General features: G+C 39.1%; 1 protein-coding gene across 26 annotated transcripts in view; it reads left to right on the top strand.

Moving 5' to 3' along the window:
* The window catches only part of DNAAF11 (dynein axonemal assembly factor 11), a 132,498-nt gene that overhangs the window by 33,938 nt on the left and 80,123 nt on the right, over window positions 1–18,437 (top strand). For 20 of the 26 annotated variants that reach the window (NR_135907.2, NR_073525.3, NR_135905.2 and 17 more), the window contains 2 exons: window positions 7,349–7,516; window positions 12,069–12,146. The exons of 4 other annotated variants lie outside the window; for them this stretch is intronic. Coding sequence is in view for 9 of the 22 variants with exons in the window: in XM_011516950.3 (XP_011515252.1) it covers window positions 7,349–7,516; window positions 12,069–12,146 (246 nt within the window). In the remaining 13 variants the exon portion in view is untranslated. Of the gene's footprint in view, window positions 1–7,348; window positions 7,517–7,547; window positions 8,484–12,068; window positions 12,147–18,437 lie in introns of those variants that run through there. 2 more of the 26 variants (XM_047421660.1, XM_017013296.2) reach the window with 2 other exon arrangements.

Genomic DNA, 18,437 nt, shown 5'->3' with positions numbered 1-18,437 from the left:
CCCAGGAAAGGAAAGGCCATGACCTTGGCTGAACAATCTCTTCGCTGAGACAGCTCATGAAGAAGGTGGGCAGCAGAGGGCTGTCTGTCAACAGAGCCCCCAGCAGCTAGAGGAATTAATCCTTCAGTTTTGAAGAGGGACCTGAGAAGTGCATCATGTCATCCACGATGGCCTAAGGTGCCCTTTCCTGGTTTATCTAACAAACATCTACTCACATTTCAAGATTCAGCTCAGGGCCGGGCGCGGTGGCTCAAGCCTGTAATTCCAGCCCTTTGGGAGGCTGAGGGGGGTGGAACATGAGGTCAAGAGATCGAGACCATCCTGGCTAACACGGTGAAACCCCGTCTCTATTAAAAATACAAAAAAAAAATTAGCCAGGCGTGGTGGCAGGTGCCTGTAGTCCCAGCTACTGGGGAGTCTGAGGCAGGAGAATGGCGTGAACCCGGGAGGCAGAGCTTGCAGTGAGCCAAGATCGCGCCACTGGGCGACAGAGCGAGACTCTGTCTCAAAGAAAAAAAAAAAGATTCAGCTCAGACTCCTCCTCCATGAAGCTTCTTCTGACTTCCTTTTTCTCAGTAGCACCGATCACTGTCTCCTGTGCACTCATCATACTTTCTATGTTCTTCTCTCAGTGCCCCATAGCACTTAGTGCTTTTCAGTAGCACACTCCAGTAAGTCGTCCCTAAAGATATCACTAGATTGGGATATAGTACGGCTGTTGCCGCTCATTATGATGAGCCTGGGTCAGCAAGAAAAGACAGGCAAGTGTACAATCCTGCTTTTAAGAGTTTCCATTGAAAATGATTAAAAAATATTTTAGATGCTGCAAGAGGTGACCTTCACCTGTTTGTAACCCCTTTATTTCTATTAACTCTCAATTTCATATACATATCTGATAGGTCTTTCAAGATGTCTGAATGCTACAAAATCTTCAATAAATACATATTAGTTGATTTTATTCTAATCTAGTAGGAAAAAAAGAGTTGTTTACAAAACATGATGTAAAGCCTGAAGGAATGAACACTAAATTATTGGCTTTGGGAGTTTTGAGAACTTTGCTCAATGTAATGAAAAACTTTAGAAACAAACACAGCAGGACAGCCTCCAGTATCCCAGAAACCTCCTCACCGTGCCCTCTGTCCCTGCTCCCTGCAAAGTCATTTTGCTGATACAGCCTCAAATTTTGGAGAACTCATTCATATTAAGGAATTGGAAAGAAACTTAGGTGAGCTGATGTGTTTTGATTAAACCCTTGGATTCCTCCACAGCATCTTTTAGTGAGGGGAGTATGTATCTGTGGTTGAAGCTGTCAATATCCTTCATCAAGAGCTTATTTCTCCAGTCAGACAGATATTGGTTAGCACTCAACCATCTGCATCTTATATTTTGCTGTTTGAAATTTCCTAAAATAAGGAAGTGAAAGCAATATGTTTTATATTGTGCCTTGGCATATTTTTCTTCTATACCACATAATAGGTACTATAATACCATTTTTCTTGAAATAGTCTTATGATAACATATTAATGCTTCCAAAGCATTTTATTATTTATTTCTTTACTTATTTATAGAAGGAAGGGAACTGACATTTATTGACCAATGACTGTATACCAGGCACTGTGCTAAGGGCTTTACTTAATTATTTAATCCTCAAAAAAATTTTAAGAAGTAATGCTAACATTATCTCCAGTTTACAGATGAGAAAACTGAAATAGATGAACAGTTTTGCCCAAATCTACGTATCATAAACAGGTAGAGAATGGTGGGGCAAAGATTTGACATTATCTTTTCATGACAACACTACACATCCCATCCCTTAGGTTATGTTCCAGTTCTAAATAATAGTAGAAGTTCATTCTAAGTTCTTAGCTCTCCAGGGCTCTTTACAATGGACTCAAACTTGCCTAGCTTTTTTATATCTCCCAATTCCTTCAGTGCTGTGCTGTAGCCATAATGAATGCCGCATAATTTACAGAATCTTCTATGGCCTCTCTCCTTCTGAGCTTGCTTCTTGGAATTGTCTTTTATCTGCCCCATTCTCTTGAATAATCTTAATCATCCTCTGTGTCTCAGCTGAAGATAGGAAGCTTGCCATCTTCTCCGAAGTCTTGATTAGAAGCTGTGGGTATCCCTGACCACCCACATGACCCGAGTGGTATGCACACTGTGCTTCTTTCCTGCCTCTTCTACCAGGCAACCTCCATGAAAGCAAGGACTGTCTGCCGTTGTGTCTACAACATCATTACTATATTGTTGCTGCAAAGTGAAAGAAGATACACTTGCTTCCTGGCCTTTGCACTGTGCTGTTTCTTCTGCTCCATTCTCTTCTTTTTTTCTGGTTAATTGTCATGTGTGCTCTGTATCTCTGTCGACATTGCCTGCTTCTGAAGCCGCAGCTGGGTTGGGTGCTTCTCCTAGATGCTTCATGGTATCCAGCTCTTCTCTCAAGCTCATCCTGCACTGTTGTCACTGCCTCTCCTTAATTCTGGACAGAAAATTCCTTGAGGGCAGAGTTTGTATCTTTTTTTTTACTTTTTAATTTAATTTTGTTTTTATTTGACATAATTGTACATATTTATGGGATACATAGTGATGTTTCAATACATATACTGTATAGTAATCAGATCAGGGTAATTAGCATATCCATTATCTAAAACATTTATCATTTCTTTGTGTTGGAAACTTTCAATATCGTCCTTCTAGCTATTTCAAACTATATATTATTGTTTTTAATTTTATATTCAGAGGGTACATGTGCAGGTTTGTTACATGGGTATATTGGATGATGGCTGGGGTCTGAGCTTCAAGTGAACCCCTAACCCAAACAGTGAACATAGTAGCCAGTAGGTCGTTTTTCAACCCTTGCCTCCCCTCCTTCGCCCATTTTGGAGTCCTCAGGGTCTATTGTTTCCATCTTTATGTCCTTGTGTACCCACAGTTTAGCTCCCACTTATAAGTGAGAACATGCAGTATTTGATTTTCTGTTCGTGCATGAATTCACTTGGGATAATGGCCTCCAGCTGCATCCATGTTACTGCAAAGGACATGATTTTTTCTTTTTATGGCTGCATAGTATTCCATGGTATATGTGTACCAAATTTTCTCTATCCAATCCGCTGTTGATGGGGACTTGGGTTGAATACATTACTTTGATATTGTGAATAGTGCTGCAGTAGCACACGAGTACAGGTGTCTTTTTGATTGAATGATTTATTTTCCTTTGGGTAGATACCCAGTAGTGAGATTGCTAGGTTGATTGTTCATTCTATTTTTAATTCTTTGAGAAATCTCTATTCTGTTTTCCATAGGGGTTGAACTAATTTGCATTCCCACCAACAGAGTATAAGTGTTCCCTTTTCTCTGCATCCTTGCCAACGTCTATTATTTTATGACTTTCATAATAATAGCCATTCTGACTGGTATGAGATGGTATCTCATTGTAGTTTTAATTTGCATTTCTCTGATGACTAGTGATGTGGAGCTTTTTTTTTTAAAGTTTGCTGGGCACTTTTGTGTCTTCCCAAAGCATTTTTAAATCTCTAGAATGATCTCACGTAATTGCAGTGCTATATTATTTGGAGTAGAAATTTCTAAAGGCGAATAATGCTCCTTGGACTTAAAGAATGTTTGCTCTAAATTAGACAGTATATAAAACCGAAAATGCTTTCCTGTTCAAAAGCATGAAACACTATAATCTCCATGCACCATGAAGATATCTTTACACATTTCTTCTCGGGGGCTCTGGTTTTTGTTCTGATGTTTGCCATTACAGGTGAAGCAGCACTGTGTAACAACAATTTCCTCAGCGCTATAAAATGGTAAGCCACACGGCAGTTTGCTTGTCATAGGAGAGTTTAGAAAAGATCTGCTGGGAAATTTCCACATCTTCACAGTTCTGTCCTCCTCTGCAATTATTTATTTTCTTTTAATGTATCCTAATTGTATATAATCATTGCTGTCCAGGCAAACTTCTCTGTTGTGTCCCTTCTTTCCTTTGTGTGTGTGTGTAATTTAGTTATTCATGCTAAGGGAGGCTCCCTAAACTCCACCTCTTTAAATTAATAGGGATTTTTCTCATCTTAATTCTCATGGTTAGAAGATATGAATCAATATAATTCTTTCCTAATACTTACATGCCTTCGAAAGAGAAGATTTGACAGTTGCATGAAGTGATTGGTTTTACACACGTAATACCTTGATGAAGAGAGTTTCTTGGTTGGTCGCAGTGGCTCACACCTGTAATCCCAGTACTTTGGGAAGCCAAGGTGGGTGGATCGCTTGAGTCCAGGAGTCTGAGACCAATGTGGACACGATGGTGAAACCCTGTCTTTACAAAAAAAAAAAAAAAAATTAGCTGGGTGTGGTGGCGCATGCCTGTAGTTCCAGCTACTCAGAAGGCTGAGGTAGGAGGATCCCTTGATCCTGGGCTGCAGCAAACTGTAATCGTGCCACTGCACTCCAGCCTGGGTGACAGAGTGAGACCGTGTCTCAAAGGAAGAAAGAGTTTCTTAAATGTTCAGAGGTATAGCAAGAGAATACTACAAGGATATTTGGTACCAGTAGAAACTTTGTCAACCCTGGAAATCTTTAAGAGTGGGCAATTTAGAAAAGCCTTTCACAGTGTAGACTAGAGGCGCCTGTGATACCTTGAGCAGCCCTGAGAGTCAGAAAGTCCCACATGGCAGTATGAGGCCAGAGACCAAGTGATGCTTAAGATTCTATCAGAAGTCCCCTGAACACATTCGACTTAACCATGGATGACATCTCCTTTGGAGTTCAAATTATATCTTCAATATGGATACAAAACTAAGCCTTCAACTAGAATCTGGGGCAAGAGTATAAGTAAAGGCCTATGTATCAAGTTATAAACCAAACTGCTAAATAAAATATGTCTTCTTACCTTGACAAGTATACTTTCCTAACAACCTGAGGGCTGCATTTCCTATGCTGGAGTTCTATGACAGAGCATGGTGGATTGGGGAAATCTTGCCCTCTGGCCCACTCTTCCCTTTTCTTCCCATCTCTGACTCTGTCCTGGCCCCTAACACCCATGTATGAGCATGGACACTCCAGCCTATACATCCATGCCATCCACCTCCCTGACAAACAGCTGACCCTTGGACATCCCTTAGGCGTTGGGATATGTACCTGATGTCATGGTCTGTCTTCAGGAACGAACCTGGAGAAGCTGCCATTGCAAGGTTTAGAGTAAGGCTTGGAGCCCCTTGAACAGAGAATCCCATTGTTCCTTCCATGGGCCATGGTCTAGAGAGGAAGACTTGGGCTCTGGATGGGCACGTCCTCCTGGCCCCATGGACTCCAGTTCTAATAGTAGCAAGGCCTCCAACAATCCACCCCCTTGCTCTATGGATTTGAGTAGTTTAAGTTACAGATATACCGTTAGTCATTGAGGGTCTTATTACTAGTGGTCAGTAATTTCCACATTTTGTTAAATGTACAGATAACAAGGTTGTGCAATCTCAACCCCTTGACCCATGTTGCATCCTTGCTAAGAGAATTCTTATAGGTAAATTACAGATCTAGATCATACATTTACTTTACACAGGAGCATTGCTCTATCCTCTGGCTGTACCCATTTATTCATTATCAGTTGATTTAAGCTGTTAGAACCAACTTTGGTTAGGAGGATAGAGAGTAGTTTTAATGCTCTTCTCTTACAGGTTTGGTTTTTCTCTTTTCCTTGATTATAGCACCCTATTTAAGCTGGTTCACAAACCATTATTGGAATTCCAGGGACAGCTGAATGGTGCTGGCAGCAGGGTTCCCAGCGAGCCAGGCTGGTGGTGGTGTACTGTTAGCCTCCTTCCTGGGCGCTTTGGGCTGTCCCTTACCAGGATCTGGTTTGTGACCATCTCTGCCTGTTAGTTGAGCCAAAGCTTAGAGCAGCAAGGACTTTCCCCATGTATGGTATTTTAATCTCTCAACCTCTACATTGCTCTGGTCCTTCTTATAAAGAACTGTCATTGCAAGCACCCGTATCTCCTACCACTAGAAGTAGCAGAGAGTTTAGCTAACTCCACATGAATGATAAGTTCGTACATGTTTTTACATTTAATAAAAAGGCAAATTCCACTTTTAAGGATGTGACATAGAGGTGTGGTAGCAGAAGTTGCTGTGAAGAACTCTGTCTCAGCTAGAGGAGTCTGCACCTTCAGGAAACCTGGAATTTCTAGAGGCTGTTATTTGCTTATGCTTGAGACAGTGGAGCATAGTGGTTAAGAGCAGGTGGTCTGGCACTAAACCATGAATTTAAAACCTGGCTCTAGCACTTATCACCAAGACCCAGGTAAGTTATTTAAACTCTCTGTGCTTTACTTCCTCATCTGACAAATGGCAGTAATAACTCCAGATAGTCATATATTAATACATGCAAAGAATTTAGAATACTACCTGGCACCTTGTAAGTGACAGTGAGTCTTTATTATCTCCTGGGGTAGACATACAATATTTCCACATCCTACAGAAGATGTGAGGGTTCAACAAATACCAGTTTTAGTGGCAGTGGGAAATGCCTGGTTCCTCCTTGTCATTACCTTTTTGGTTTCAATGCATCTTTACAAAGATGATTCATGATCTTGTGCTTGGCTCTGACTGTGGACCATAGATAGTGCTATGTCCAGTCTCCTGGCGCCGTCTTCCTCACGTACTGCTGACCTTCTGTGGCAGGTGAACCCAGCACTACACATCACTCTTGTCAGAGGGGTGGGAGCTCCCATTACACCTCCTTCTGTGAGCAGCTTTCAAAAATACTTCTCCTGGAAACAAAACAAGTGGTGGCTGCTTTATAAGAATGCAGTGCAAGATCTAAAGCGTTCCTTTTCTTTCTTTTAAGCTTTAGTTAAATTAATAAACATTGGTTAAATGAATGACCTGTGACCTTTATTTTCTGAATGGTAGAAGATGCTTTCATATTTCTGCCCTCTGACAGCTCAACTGTGCCTCTCAGTAGCAAGTTGCTCTGTCTCAGATTAGTTAGTGGATCTCATCCATTTTAACATGGTACCACCATAAGATTCCATGTAAACATTTTTATAGCCATTAACTCTCAACTCCATCTCCATCCATACAGCAAAATGTATGTAGACCCTTCACATTCAAAGGCAAATACAATATCATCATGTCTTCTTCTTCTCTCCAGCTCACATCATGGCATCACAAAAACTCCAGGAGGAGGTACCATTTTCTCTCTCACTTTGAAAATCGCTTGGGCCTGGAAAATTGACATTCAACTGCAAAAACAAACAAAAAAAACACAAATGCGTTAACAACACAATAATCTTATATTGAACAATGGGGACAGAAATGTAATATGTAACACATTTTCTTCCAGTCACAGAAGATCTTATTAGACGGAATGCTGAACACAACGACTGTGTCATTTTTTCCCTGGAGGAACTCTCGTTGCATCAGCAAGAAATAGAAAGACTAGAACACATTGATAAATGGTGCCGGGATTTAAAAATTCTCTATCTTCAAAATAATCTTATTGGGAAAATTGGTAAGTTTCAGTACTTAGTTCTCATGGTTTCTTGAACATTGTGAATGAGAGAACTTTGGAAAGTGCTGTGTTATTTTTAGAAGACAATCACTGAAAAAAAAACTCCATGGGAAAACAGACACAGCCATCTCTCAGTGGTTGTGTGGGGGGCGTTTCCCTGAACATTTCTGTGTGTAGTGAAAACAATTTCCAGCAAGGAGTTGGGAGAGCAGGTAAAGGTGAGGAACACATTAGTTGACCTGATCATCTAAAAAGACAGAGAACACATCAGACCTGATTTTTTTTTTTTAAGTTTGAAAGGGAGGAGGCATTTGTCATCATTTTACATCACACTGCAAAACAAATTTATATGAGAATTGAGGGAGTCCTTGTCAGGTTACTGCAGAATTCAATAGCTAGTTTTGCTATATTTATTGTGACCATATATGTGCAAGGCATTGGGCTCAGTATTGGGTATTGAGGGGCTTCCGATTTGGAATGGAAATTAGAGGTAAATGCAGGGATCAGGTCAATGAAGATAAAAATATCAGTATTATAACTGATAAAGCTCTTCTAAGAAAGTGGCGTAGACTTGCAGCCAAGTGGGCTTGCTAATATTGCCCTCAGAATTAACCTACCCACCCAGTTACATGCAGAATTGAACAACCACAAGTTTCTCCTCCCCAGGTGGGCCTTTGCTTTATGTCAGGAGGTAGGTTGAGACCATGTGCTCTCTGCTGGCAGGAAGATCCCAGAAACCAGGAAAGAGGGTAGGACTGGGCATGCTCAGTTTCTTCTCCTGATTAACCTATCAGATAAATTGGTCTTCCTTCCCCCACCACACTTGACTTCTCTCACAGAAGAATGATGAATTAAAGGGAAGAGGGAAGGGAGGCCTGTGGAGTTACTCTAATGGAGGTCCTGCCACATGGACACAGAAGGAGAATCCCCAGCACCCGGAAAGAGAAAGCACAGGCTCTGGCATCAGGTAAACCTGGGTCAGAACACTGCCTCTCCCGCCTCCCTCTATGCAGTGTGAAATTTGACAAGTCAGTTACTTGCCCAAGTCTTAGTCTTGCCATCTGTAAAATGGCTAATAATGCCTAAAATGTAAATTGGCATAGGGATTACATGAAATGATATGCTTAGTGCTTGCTCACCATAAGACCAGCACGGCACATGTATACATATGTAACTAACCTGCACAATGTGCACATGTACCCTAAAACTTAAAGTATAATTAAAAAAAAAAAAGATAAGTACTCATTACAGGATAGCTGCTGTGCTGCTGCTGTTACCAATTTGATCATTTACCTCATTGTGCCCCAGGCTAGCCAAATGAAGGTAGGAGCAGAAAGGAGAAGCCAGTGGAGTTGGAGGAAAAGGGATGGAGTCAGGGCTGAGGAGGCAGAGTGAGTGCCAACCCCTGTGTGCCCTGGCACGAGAACCCAGAGGTCAGCTTGCAGGATCATATTTAACTTCCCGTGATGATGTGCAGTGGTTCACAACAGGGGCATTTGGCAATGTCTGGAGATATTTTTGGTTGTCGCATGTGTATGGGAGGATGGGGAGAGGATGCTATTGGCATCTAGTGTATAGAGGCCAGGAATACTGCAAACCATCCTACAGTGCTCAGGATGCTCCCCCACCCCCCGCAAGAAAGAATATCCAGCCCAAAATGTTAGTATTGCTGAGGTTGAGAAACCCTGGTGATGTGGTTGCTTCTAGTTTCGTGGATAATTGAAAATTAGCCTCAGGCTTGCAAAAAGCCTAGGTTTGCATCATTTTTGGAAGATTTACTAAAATTCTCTGTATTTTTTGAGTTAATTATTTTTGGCATCTTTAACTTGACCAGAAATTAGAAACTCTGGCACATTGTTCAATTAAAAAGGCTATTACAGAAAACCACCAGCTTTTATGCATGGGGGCATGAAAGAACGGTTCTAATTGTACAGATCTAAAAGAGTTCCCAAAATTTTAATCTCCACAGCTGGGTCCATCACAATTACTAATTAGGAGCATGGTATTTCGGTCCTTTTCAGAACTGTGAGAAAGCTTAAATTTTTGCTTCCAAAGTACTCTTAAATTAAACACTCTTTTAAATCCTAATAATGGGATTTTTCAGTGCTACTCCACCCATAGGCATTTAGGCACTTATTTAGCAAGTAAAACCACCCCTCTAGGATTCAGACTTGCTCTTGTGCCATTGAGGTAGAAGTTTGTGAAGCAATTGCCTTTCCTAAAGCCCTGTTGCCCATGGGAAGACACAGATGGTCTGCGGAGGAAGGCACTGCTTAGAGGTGACCCAAGAGGGAGCCCAGGGGCCATGTGGGGTCTTGTCAAGTGCCCCGTCCCCAGACCTACTGAATCAGAACCTGTGGGCTCCTGGAATCAACCCTTTCAACAGCTTCCCAGTGGGCTGCATGCCTGGGCCAAGCTGAGGGCTACAGAGCTGCTTAAATCCGAGAAGGCAGAGGGTCTACTCCAAGTTTGTGGGCCTGCTTAGTTGATGAGAACTGTTACTAGAATGGTCTGGCTAGAACTCAGACTCCCTTTTCCCTACCCAAGAGGCTCTTCCATTTTGACTTACAGAGCCTTTTTTTTAACCCGCTGTGTCCAAGTTGGGCCCTGGGGTTTTGAGGAGTTAGCTTAGGAAACCGTCCCTGAGCAAATTCTTACTTTTCTATCATATGACTCCTTTAGCGTTTAGAGGGTGATGCGTATAACAAAGGTGGGGAAGGGAAATCCTGTTTTGAAGAGGTATTTTATTGTGGGCTGGCCATTTTAACAATAATAAAGTATTTTGTTCAGGATGTGGACGAGACTCTCATAGTTCTTAGCACATAGAAACCTCCAAATCTGCTGGGAGCGGTGGCTCATGCCTGTAATCCCAACACTTTGGGAGGCTAAGGCGGCTGGATCACGAGGTCAGGAGATCGAGACCATCCTGGCTAACACAGTGAAACCCCATCTCTACTAAAAATACAAAAATTAGCCAGGCGTGGTGGCGGGCGCCTGTAGTCCCAGCTACTCAGGAGGCTGAGGCAGGAGAATGGTGTGAACCCGGGAGGCGGAGCTTGCAGTGAGCTGAGATTGGGCCACTGCACTCCAGCCTGGGCAACAGAGTGAGACTCTGTCTCTTAAAAAAAGAAAAAAGAAACCTCCAAATCTTTGACTATTGAATGCTCAGATGTTTCTAAAGAGCTTTTTCAAACATTAGGATTACTTAGAATAATTTAAATTCTGAGAGAAATGTTTGTAATTTTTTCCCCCAAATCCTCCATTTAAACAATGCATAAATTGAGATTCAGAGATGTGAACTGTTATGTTCAGGTCTATGGAAACAAATATATGATGTTTTGTACATTTTAGATTAACTATTAGTGGTGATAGGGGTGATGATTATAAATCACCATCTTTGAGCTTCATGGTGTACCTGAGAAATGGGCAGAGGAGGCACTAATTGAATGAGGCTGCCCCCAGTGCACATTCCTTAGCAAAGTTTTCTACATTCCTGTCATCTTAGAAAGGACTGTTCTTTTAAGGTGTACTATAATGATTTAGTTCCAGGTTCTGGAGTCAACTTTCCTAGCTCTACCACTTAACCTTGGACAAGTGAATTAATTCTCTGTACCTTGGTATTCTGATTTGTAAAAAGGAGACAATAGTTTTGACCTCATAGGGTTATTATGAGGATTAAATAAGGTAATATATACTAAATGCTGAGAACATTGTGTGACATGTGATAAGCACTCAGCAATAGTTGCTATGGTATTATTAACTATTTTTCAAAGGCCCCATTCTGCAGCAATTCTGTGACTTGTTTATGCTTGTTGTTTTGCCTGTATTGGCTTTCATGTTTATTAAATAAGATAATCCTGTATCAGGTTGATTTTGGCTTCAAGTCAAAGAAACCCAACTAAATGTGGTAGAACAGTAAGGAAATCAATTATCTTACCCAACTTTAAGTCTACAGGTAGAGCAGACTCCAGAGTCAGTCAGGGTTGGTTGATTCCTTCTCTCTGCTCTACCAGCTCTCAGGCTTTGTCCTGCAGCTGTTTCCCTTATGATTGAGTATAAGTATCAATAGAGATAGTAATTCCTTATTAACATCCAGCAGGAAAAAGAGATAAGAACCCTCCAAGCATGGAATATAGATCCTTCCCTTTTATCTGATTAGGAGGACTGGGTGTGCATGTCCTCTCCTGTATCACACGGTTGCCAAAAGACTGCCATGGCTTTTTGGCTTAAACCTAGGTTCCTGAGCCACCACTAGCAAGAGAGATTGGATTGTCATGCACTGGCCCAGCTTGGCTAAACCTAACTGCCTGGAGTTAGGGCTAGGTAAAGACATGAGCAAAACTGGGTGTCATTAGGAAGGATGGAGGGAGAAATGGGTCCTCCTTAGGCAGCCACCGTGTCTGATGTACAGGTATAGATTTGGAAAAGTGACATGGTTTTGATAACCATAATAATAATCTTTAGATTTTCTTTATTATTTTAGTAATAGATTACATAAAAGTGTCTTTATTTTGAAGATTAATTATCTTAACTACATTATCTTGTATTTCAGAAAATGTTAGCAAACTCAAGAAACTTGAATATTTGAATTTAGCTTTAAACAACATTGAAAAAATAGAAAACTTGGAAGGTAAGACTGTTTCTTCTATTATGCTATTATGAATTAAAATTGAGATTTTAAGTTAGAAGGCCAGGTGCAGTGGCTCACGCCTGTAATCCCAGCACTTTGGGAGGCCAAGGCGGGCAGATCACCTGAGGTCAGGAGTTCGAGACCAGCCTGACCAATATGATTAAACCCCGTCTCTACTAAAAATACAAAAATTAGCCAGGCGTGGTGGCATGCACCTGTAATCCCAGCTACTCAGGAGGCTGAGACAGGAGAATCGCTTGAACCCAGGAGGCGGAGGTTGCAGTGAGCTGAGATTGCGCCATTGCACTCCAGCCTGAGCAACAACAGCGAAACTCCGTCCTCCCCAAAAAGAAAAAAGTTAGATTTAAACAGTCTTGTATAAAAATAGGTACGCTTTTAAAATTAACATTTTACATACATCTTATAGTTATTCTTCTTATAAAAATTCAAGCAATAAGGTGATACATAAATTCAAAAATGGAAGTCCATTTCACTCTTTCCTAACCCAGCCTCCTCAGAGGTAGCCAGAATTAACACTTGGGTATATACAAGGTGGTTTTGTTTCATTTTGCTTTCTATTAATGGTTTCATACTATGAGTATTGTTTTGAAAATTAGTTTCTTCCCTACAATTACCTTGCTTTTTTGATATCCAGGAAAGGGGGCGTGGGGCTACGTACCGGAATCATTGTAGACTGATTTATCTAACCATCTGTCTGCAGATGGACATTTGGGTGCGTTCCAGCATTTTGCTATAATAAGCATGGCTACAGTAAGCCTCCTTCTACATTTTACTTTGTGTACATGTGCACAGTTTTTTCTAGGACAGACACTTAGAAATGGAATTCCTGCATTTAAATCAGCATATTTGGAAAGATACTGCCAAGTTGTTCTGCAAAATATTTATTGTATCGATTTGTACTTATACTGATAGTCCATGTGAGTACCGATTTCTACACAACTTCACTAATACTTTCTATAAACAATATTTTTTAAGATAGGAAGATATTTTTGTTTATTTTTATAGTAGCCATCCTACCCTAATAGGTGTGAAGTGGTATGTTATTGTGCTTCTGATTTGATTTGCGTTTACCTTATGATTAATGATGTTGAGCATTTTTTATGTGCTTACTGGCCACTTGAATATCTTCTTTGGAAAAATGTTTATTCAAAGGTTTGGCCCATTTTTAAATTAGTTATATTATTTGTCTTTTTACTGTTAAGTTGCAAGTGTTCTTTATATATTCTAGATGCTAGACTTCGATCAGATAATTGATTTGCAGATATATTCTTCCAATTTGTGGGTTTTCTTTTCAACTTTCATGATGGTGGCCTCTGAGGCACAGTTGTTCTTAGTTTTGTCTATAGTTTGTTTGTTTGTTTTCCCTATAGGTGTCTTTGGTTTTACTGTCTGGATAGTAGGGGCCTTTATAGAATGAATTGAGAAGTGCTTCTTATTCGATTTTTTTCAGAGAGCTTGTAAAAAATTTGTGTTAATTCTTCTTTAAATATTTGTTAGAATACACCAGGAAAGCCATCTGGTCCTGGACTTTTCTTTGGGAAAGTTTATTGATTATTAATTTAATCTCTTATTATAGGTCTATTCAGATTTTCTATTTCTTCTTGACTCAGTTTTGGAAGGTTATGTCTTTCTAGAATTTATCTATTTCACTTAGGTTATCTCATTCTTTACCATACAGTTGTTTTTACTACTCCCTTATTATATTTTTCATTTTTTTTAATGTCAATAGTAAAGTCTCATCTTTCATTCCTGATTTACTAAATTTGAGTGTTCTTTTTTTTCTGGTTAATGTGCAGCTAACGGTTTGTCAATTTGGTCAATCTTTTCAAAGAACCAACTTTTGATTTTGTTGATTTTGTCTATTGTTTTATATTCTCTATTTTGTTTGTTTCCCCTGTAATCCTTATTATTTCTTTCTCTTTGTGTTTTCTCTTTTTTCTAGTTTCTTAAGACAGACAATTAGGTTATTGATATGAGTCGTTGTTTTTTATGGAGCCATAAATAAAATTCTATGAATTTTCCTATGAGCATTACTTTTTTGCATCTAAGTTTTGATATGTTGTGCTTTTGTTTTAATTCATCTCAAAGTATTTTCTGATTTTTTTTTTTTGCAATTTTTTTCTTTAACCTATTAGTTATATAGCAGTGTTGTTTAATTTCCACATCTTTGTGACTTTCCCACATTTTCTCATTTTACTGATTTCTCGTTTCACTCCATTGAGGTCAAAGAAAGAAATACTTTCTTTGATTTTAATTACTTTAAGCTTATTGAGACTTGTTTTATGGCCCAACATTTGTTCTGTCCTAGAGGCTGTTCCATGTACATTTGGGAAGATTGTACATGCTGCCATTCTTGGGTTTATTGTTCTAAATATGCCTGTTAGGTCTAGCCTTTTGTTTCTTTCTTTCCTACTCTTCTATTTCCTTGCTGATATTCTAATTGTTTTATCTATTATTAAAAGCAGGTTATTGCTGTCTCCAAGTATTATTGTTGAATTGTCCCTAGCTCGTGTCAATAATGTCAGTTTTTGCTTTAGATATTTTGGGACTCTGCTCTTAGGTGCATATATGTTTATAATATTTTTATCTTTTTGATGAATTTATGTTATTATTATTATAAAATGTCCTTTTTTGTCTATAGTTACAATGTTTGCCTTAAAGTCTATTTTGTCTGGTATTAATATAGTCACTCCAGCTCTCTCCTTTTCTTTTTGGTTACCATTTGTATGGTATAACTTTTCCTGTCTTTTACCTTTCCAACTATTTCTATCTTTGAATCTAAAATGCTTCTCTTTAAAAGGCATATAGATGAATCGTGTTTTGATTTTTAATCTATCCTGTCAATCTCTGCCTTTTAATTTGGGAGATTAACCCATTTACACCTAATGTAATTAGCAATAAGGCAGAATTTGTGTCTGTTATCTGCAATGTGTTTTCTATATATCTTATGTCTACTTTGTTCTGTTTTTGGATTACTCTTTTCATTTTTGTTATTTTTGTGTGTACTGTTTTAATTCCCTTATTCTTTTACTGTATATTTTTGAGTTATTTTCTTAGTGGTTTCCCTGGGAATTACAATTAATATCTTAATTTATAACAATCTAGTTCAAATTCATACCAACTTCATTTCAATAGTATACAGACTTTGCTCCTGTATAGTTTAGTTTTCCTCCCTTCGTTTATGCTGTTATTGTCACATATCACATCTTTATATAATATGTGCCTATTTGCATAGATTTATAATTATTTCTTTTTGCAGCCATCTTTTAAATAATTTAGGAGAAGAAAATAGGTACAAAAATAAATTTATATTGTCTTTTATATTTACCTATATAGTTACCTTTAGTAATTGTTCCTATTTTATCAAATGCATTTGAGTTTCTCCCTAGTGTCTTTTCATTTCAGCCTAAAAAACACTCTTTACTATTTCTTGTAGCATAGATCTGTTAGTGAAAAACTCTCATTTTTGTCTATCTAAAAAATCTTAATTTATTTTCCATTTTTGAAGGAGAGTTTTCCCAGATAGAGAATTATTCGTTGACAACTACATTTTTACCATTTCTTCTTTCCTTCCTCCCTTCCTTCTTCCATCTATCCATCCATCTACCTATTATCTTTTCCAATAACTTTCTTTTGTGTTTTTTAAATCTCCCCAAGAACTTCTTTCAATTGGATTTTAGTAGTATTATACTGATCTTTTGTGCCTTTTGACCTGCATCTTTTATTTAAATCCATTTTTCTTGATATTGTACATTTTGAAACATTTCACCAGATTCAAGTTCCAAATAATCATTTTCTTTTCATCCCTGTTCATTTTATAGTTCAGTCCATCTACAATTAACTCTTTATTTTGGCCGTACTTTTTTTTTATTATACTTGAAGTTCTGGGTACATGCGCAGAACATGCAGGCTTGTTACATAGGTATACGCGTGCCATGGTGGTTTGCTGCACCCATCAACCCGTCATCTACATTAGGTACTTCTCCTAATGCTATCCCTCCCCTAGCTCCCCAACCCCCGACAGGCCCTGGTGTGTGATGTTCCCCTCCCTGTGTCCATGTGTTCTTATTGTTCAATTCCCACTTATGAGTGAGAACGTGTGGTGTTTGGTTTTCTGTTCTTGTGTTAGTTTGCTGAGAATGATGGTTTCCAGCGTCATCCATGTCCCTGCAAAGGACATGAACTCACCCTTTTTTATGGCTGCATAGTATTCCATGGTGTATATGTGAATTTTGGCCATACTTTTTATTCTTCTAAACTTCTATGTTCTGATTGCGTCATTCCTGTGGTGTGTATTCTTATTTTATGGATGAGATATCTTCGAAATCTCTTTGGAGATAATTGTTAGAACTTTTTGCTGTCAATTTTTTTCATCCCCTGAATTATCTTCTTCATCTGAGGTTTCTGTTTTATTTTGCAGGCTTCTATCTTGTGCTATTTTTCTCTAAATGTCTGGTAACATTTGGTGTCTGATTACAGTCACAAAGGATTTGGTGTATTAGGTGGCTTGTGTGACTTATTCTGCAGTTGTGAGGTTCTGCTTGCCTATCCAGCCTCAGCCTGCCTGGCAGAGCCACTGTGTACTCTGCAAGTGGGTGGGGCGTGCTGACTAGCAGACTTCACTTTAGAGTGCAGGGCCATGGAATAGAGGCAGACAAGCTGCTCTCCCCACCCCAATGCCATCTGCTAATAGCTGAAATTAGGAGGACTTTACTTAGGTCATGGTGGATTTTAGCCTATTTGCCTACTAGGGTAAAAATGGATATTCCAGTGACTATTAAGATTCTTTAATAACAATTACATAAATCTACATCATATATTTTTATTTTTCATTCTCAAAAATTACCATTACCAAAGTCATCAAACCTGGCCTCAGTCCTGGGATCAAGATGATGCTTTTCATCATTGGCATTTTTCTGCATTAGAAATGGAGTCATTGCTCTCTCCCAGCTAACGTTTTACGGCCCTGTTCTCCTGTGAACAAATGGAATAATAAAATTTACTGTATGTCCATGTTTTGTGGTAATGAAGTTTCTATCTAAAATGCCAAAGAAATAATTAAAACTGGGACTCTTGGCTGGGTTGTCCAGCGCTTGTTAATTTTGTGAAGTAAGTATTCTTACACCGTATGAGTTCTGTTTGTGTGATTTGTTTTATTTATGTACCACTAGAGGGCAGCATCGTCACTATTGTCTTTTTGAGCTTGGCAAACTGCAGGCCAACCCCCCTCCTGCCTTTTACCTGAACAGGTCTTTTTGTGCTCTGCTTTCCAGCTTTAACACGGATGAACTGGGTGTAGGGTAGCCTGAGGATTGTTTGGTAAGGGCGGTGGAGGGGGATAGTGGGAATGGAGAATGCATCCTATCTGCTGGCAAATATGTACTTTTGTTTAATTTTAAGGGATTGAGGTGACAGAGGAGGAAGATGGGGGTACACCTTCAACCCACCTGCTTAAGTAAAAATAAATCGTTTTGCTTTTTACTGTTTTTCCTTGGATGGCAAAAAAAAAATAGCTAGTATCCTTTTTTTTTTCTTTTTCTCCTGTTGAAGATTCACCAGGGTAGAATAAAGTGCTTTTGTTTTCCATCCCTTACCCTAACCTGGAAGGAGAGGTGGAATTTCCCATAGCATGAGCTCCCCCACCCGCCTTTGGCAGTCAGTGTTGGTGATTTCCAAGATTTTTAGACCCCAGAGGGTCACTGAGCTGGATCTCCACAGAACAGGAGATAGAGGCTGGGACTCCACTGAAGGAAGCAGTGCCGAACTCCAGAGATGAGATTTTCTCAAGCTTGGCCAGTTTGGCAAGAATTGTTCATATTTGGGATGACAAATGTAGTTTAATTTCTTAATTGTAGGCCAAGTAGACATTAAGATTTGACACTTTGAAAAATATAATGAACATTTGGAGGGTTTTTTATCTACAAAATTATAGCAACATCCAAAGATATATGACATTTTCACCTCATTGGAGGCTTTCAAATGTCAGTCTTTTCTTATATGAAAGAAAAATGTAATTAAAATGTCTTCCGGAGCCTCCTAAATTAAACTTAAGAAATGCCACCTAACCTATCTTAAGTCAGATTACCCCAAATATATCTTCTACATTTATAAAATTCATCTGTCATTTTTGCCAATGTAAAATAAACATAGAAACATAGAGATATAGACTGTTTTATTTGTAGATATAGTTTTGTACACATCCTTCATATAGTGCCTGAGCCTACATTTTTATAATTTAACAACTGCATTGTCAAGTTTATTAATGTGTTT

This window comes from Homo sapiens, chromosome 8 (assembly GCF_000001405.40).
Source record: "Homo sapiens chromosome 8, GRCh38.p14 Primary Assembly".
NCBI classification, from domain to species: domain Eukaryota; kingdom Metazoa; phylum Chordata; class Mammalia; order Primates; family Hominidae; genus Homo; species Homo sapiens.
The sequence above is the reverse complement of the archived record's forward strand: the minus strand, read 5'-3'. Positions and strand labels throughout refer to the sequence as shown.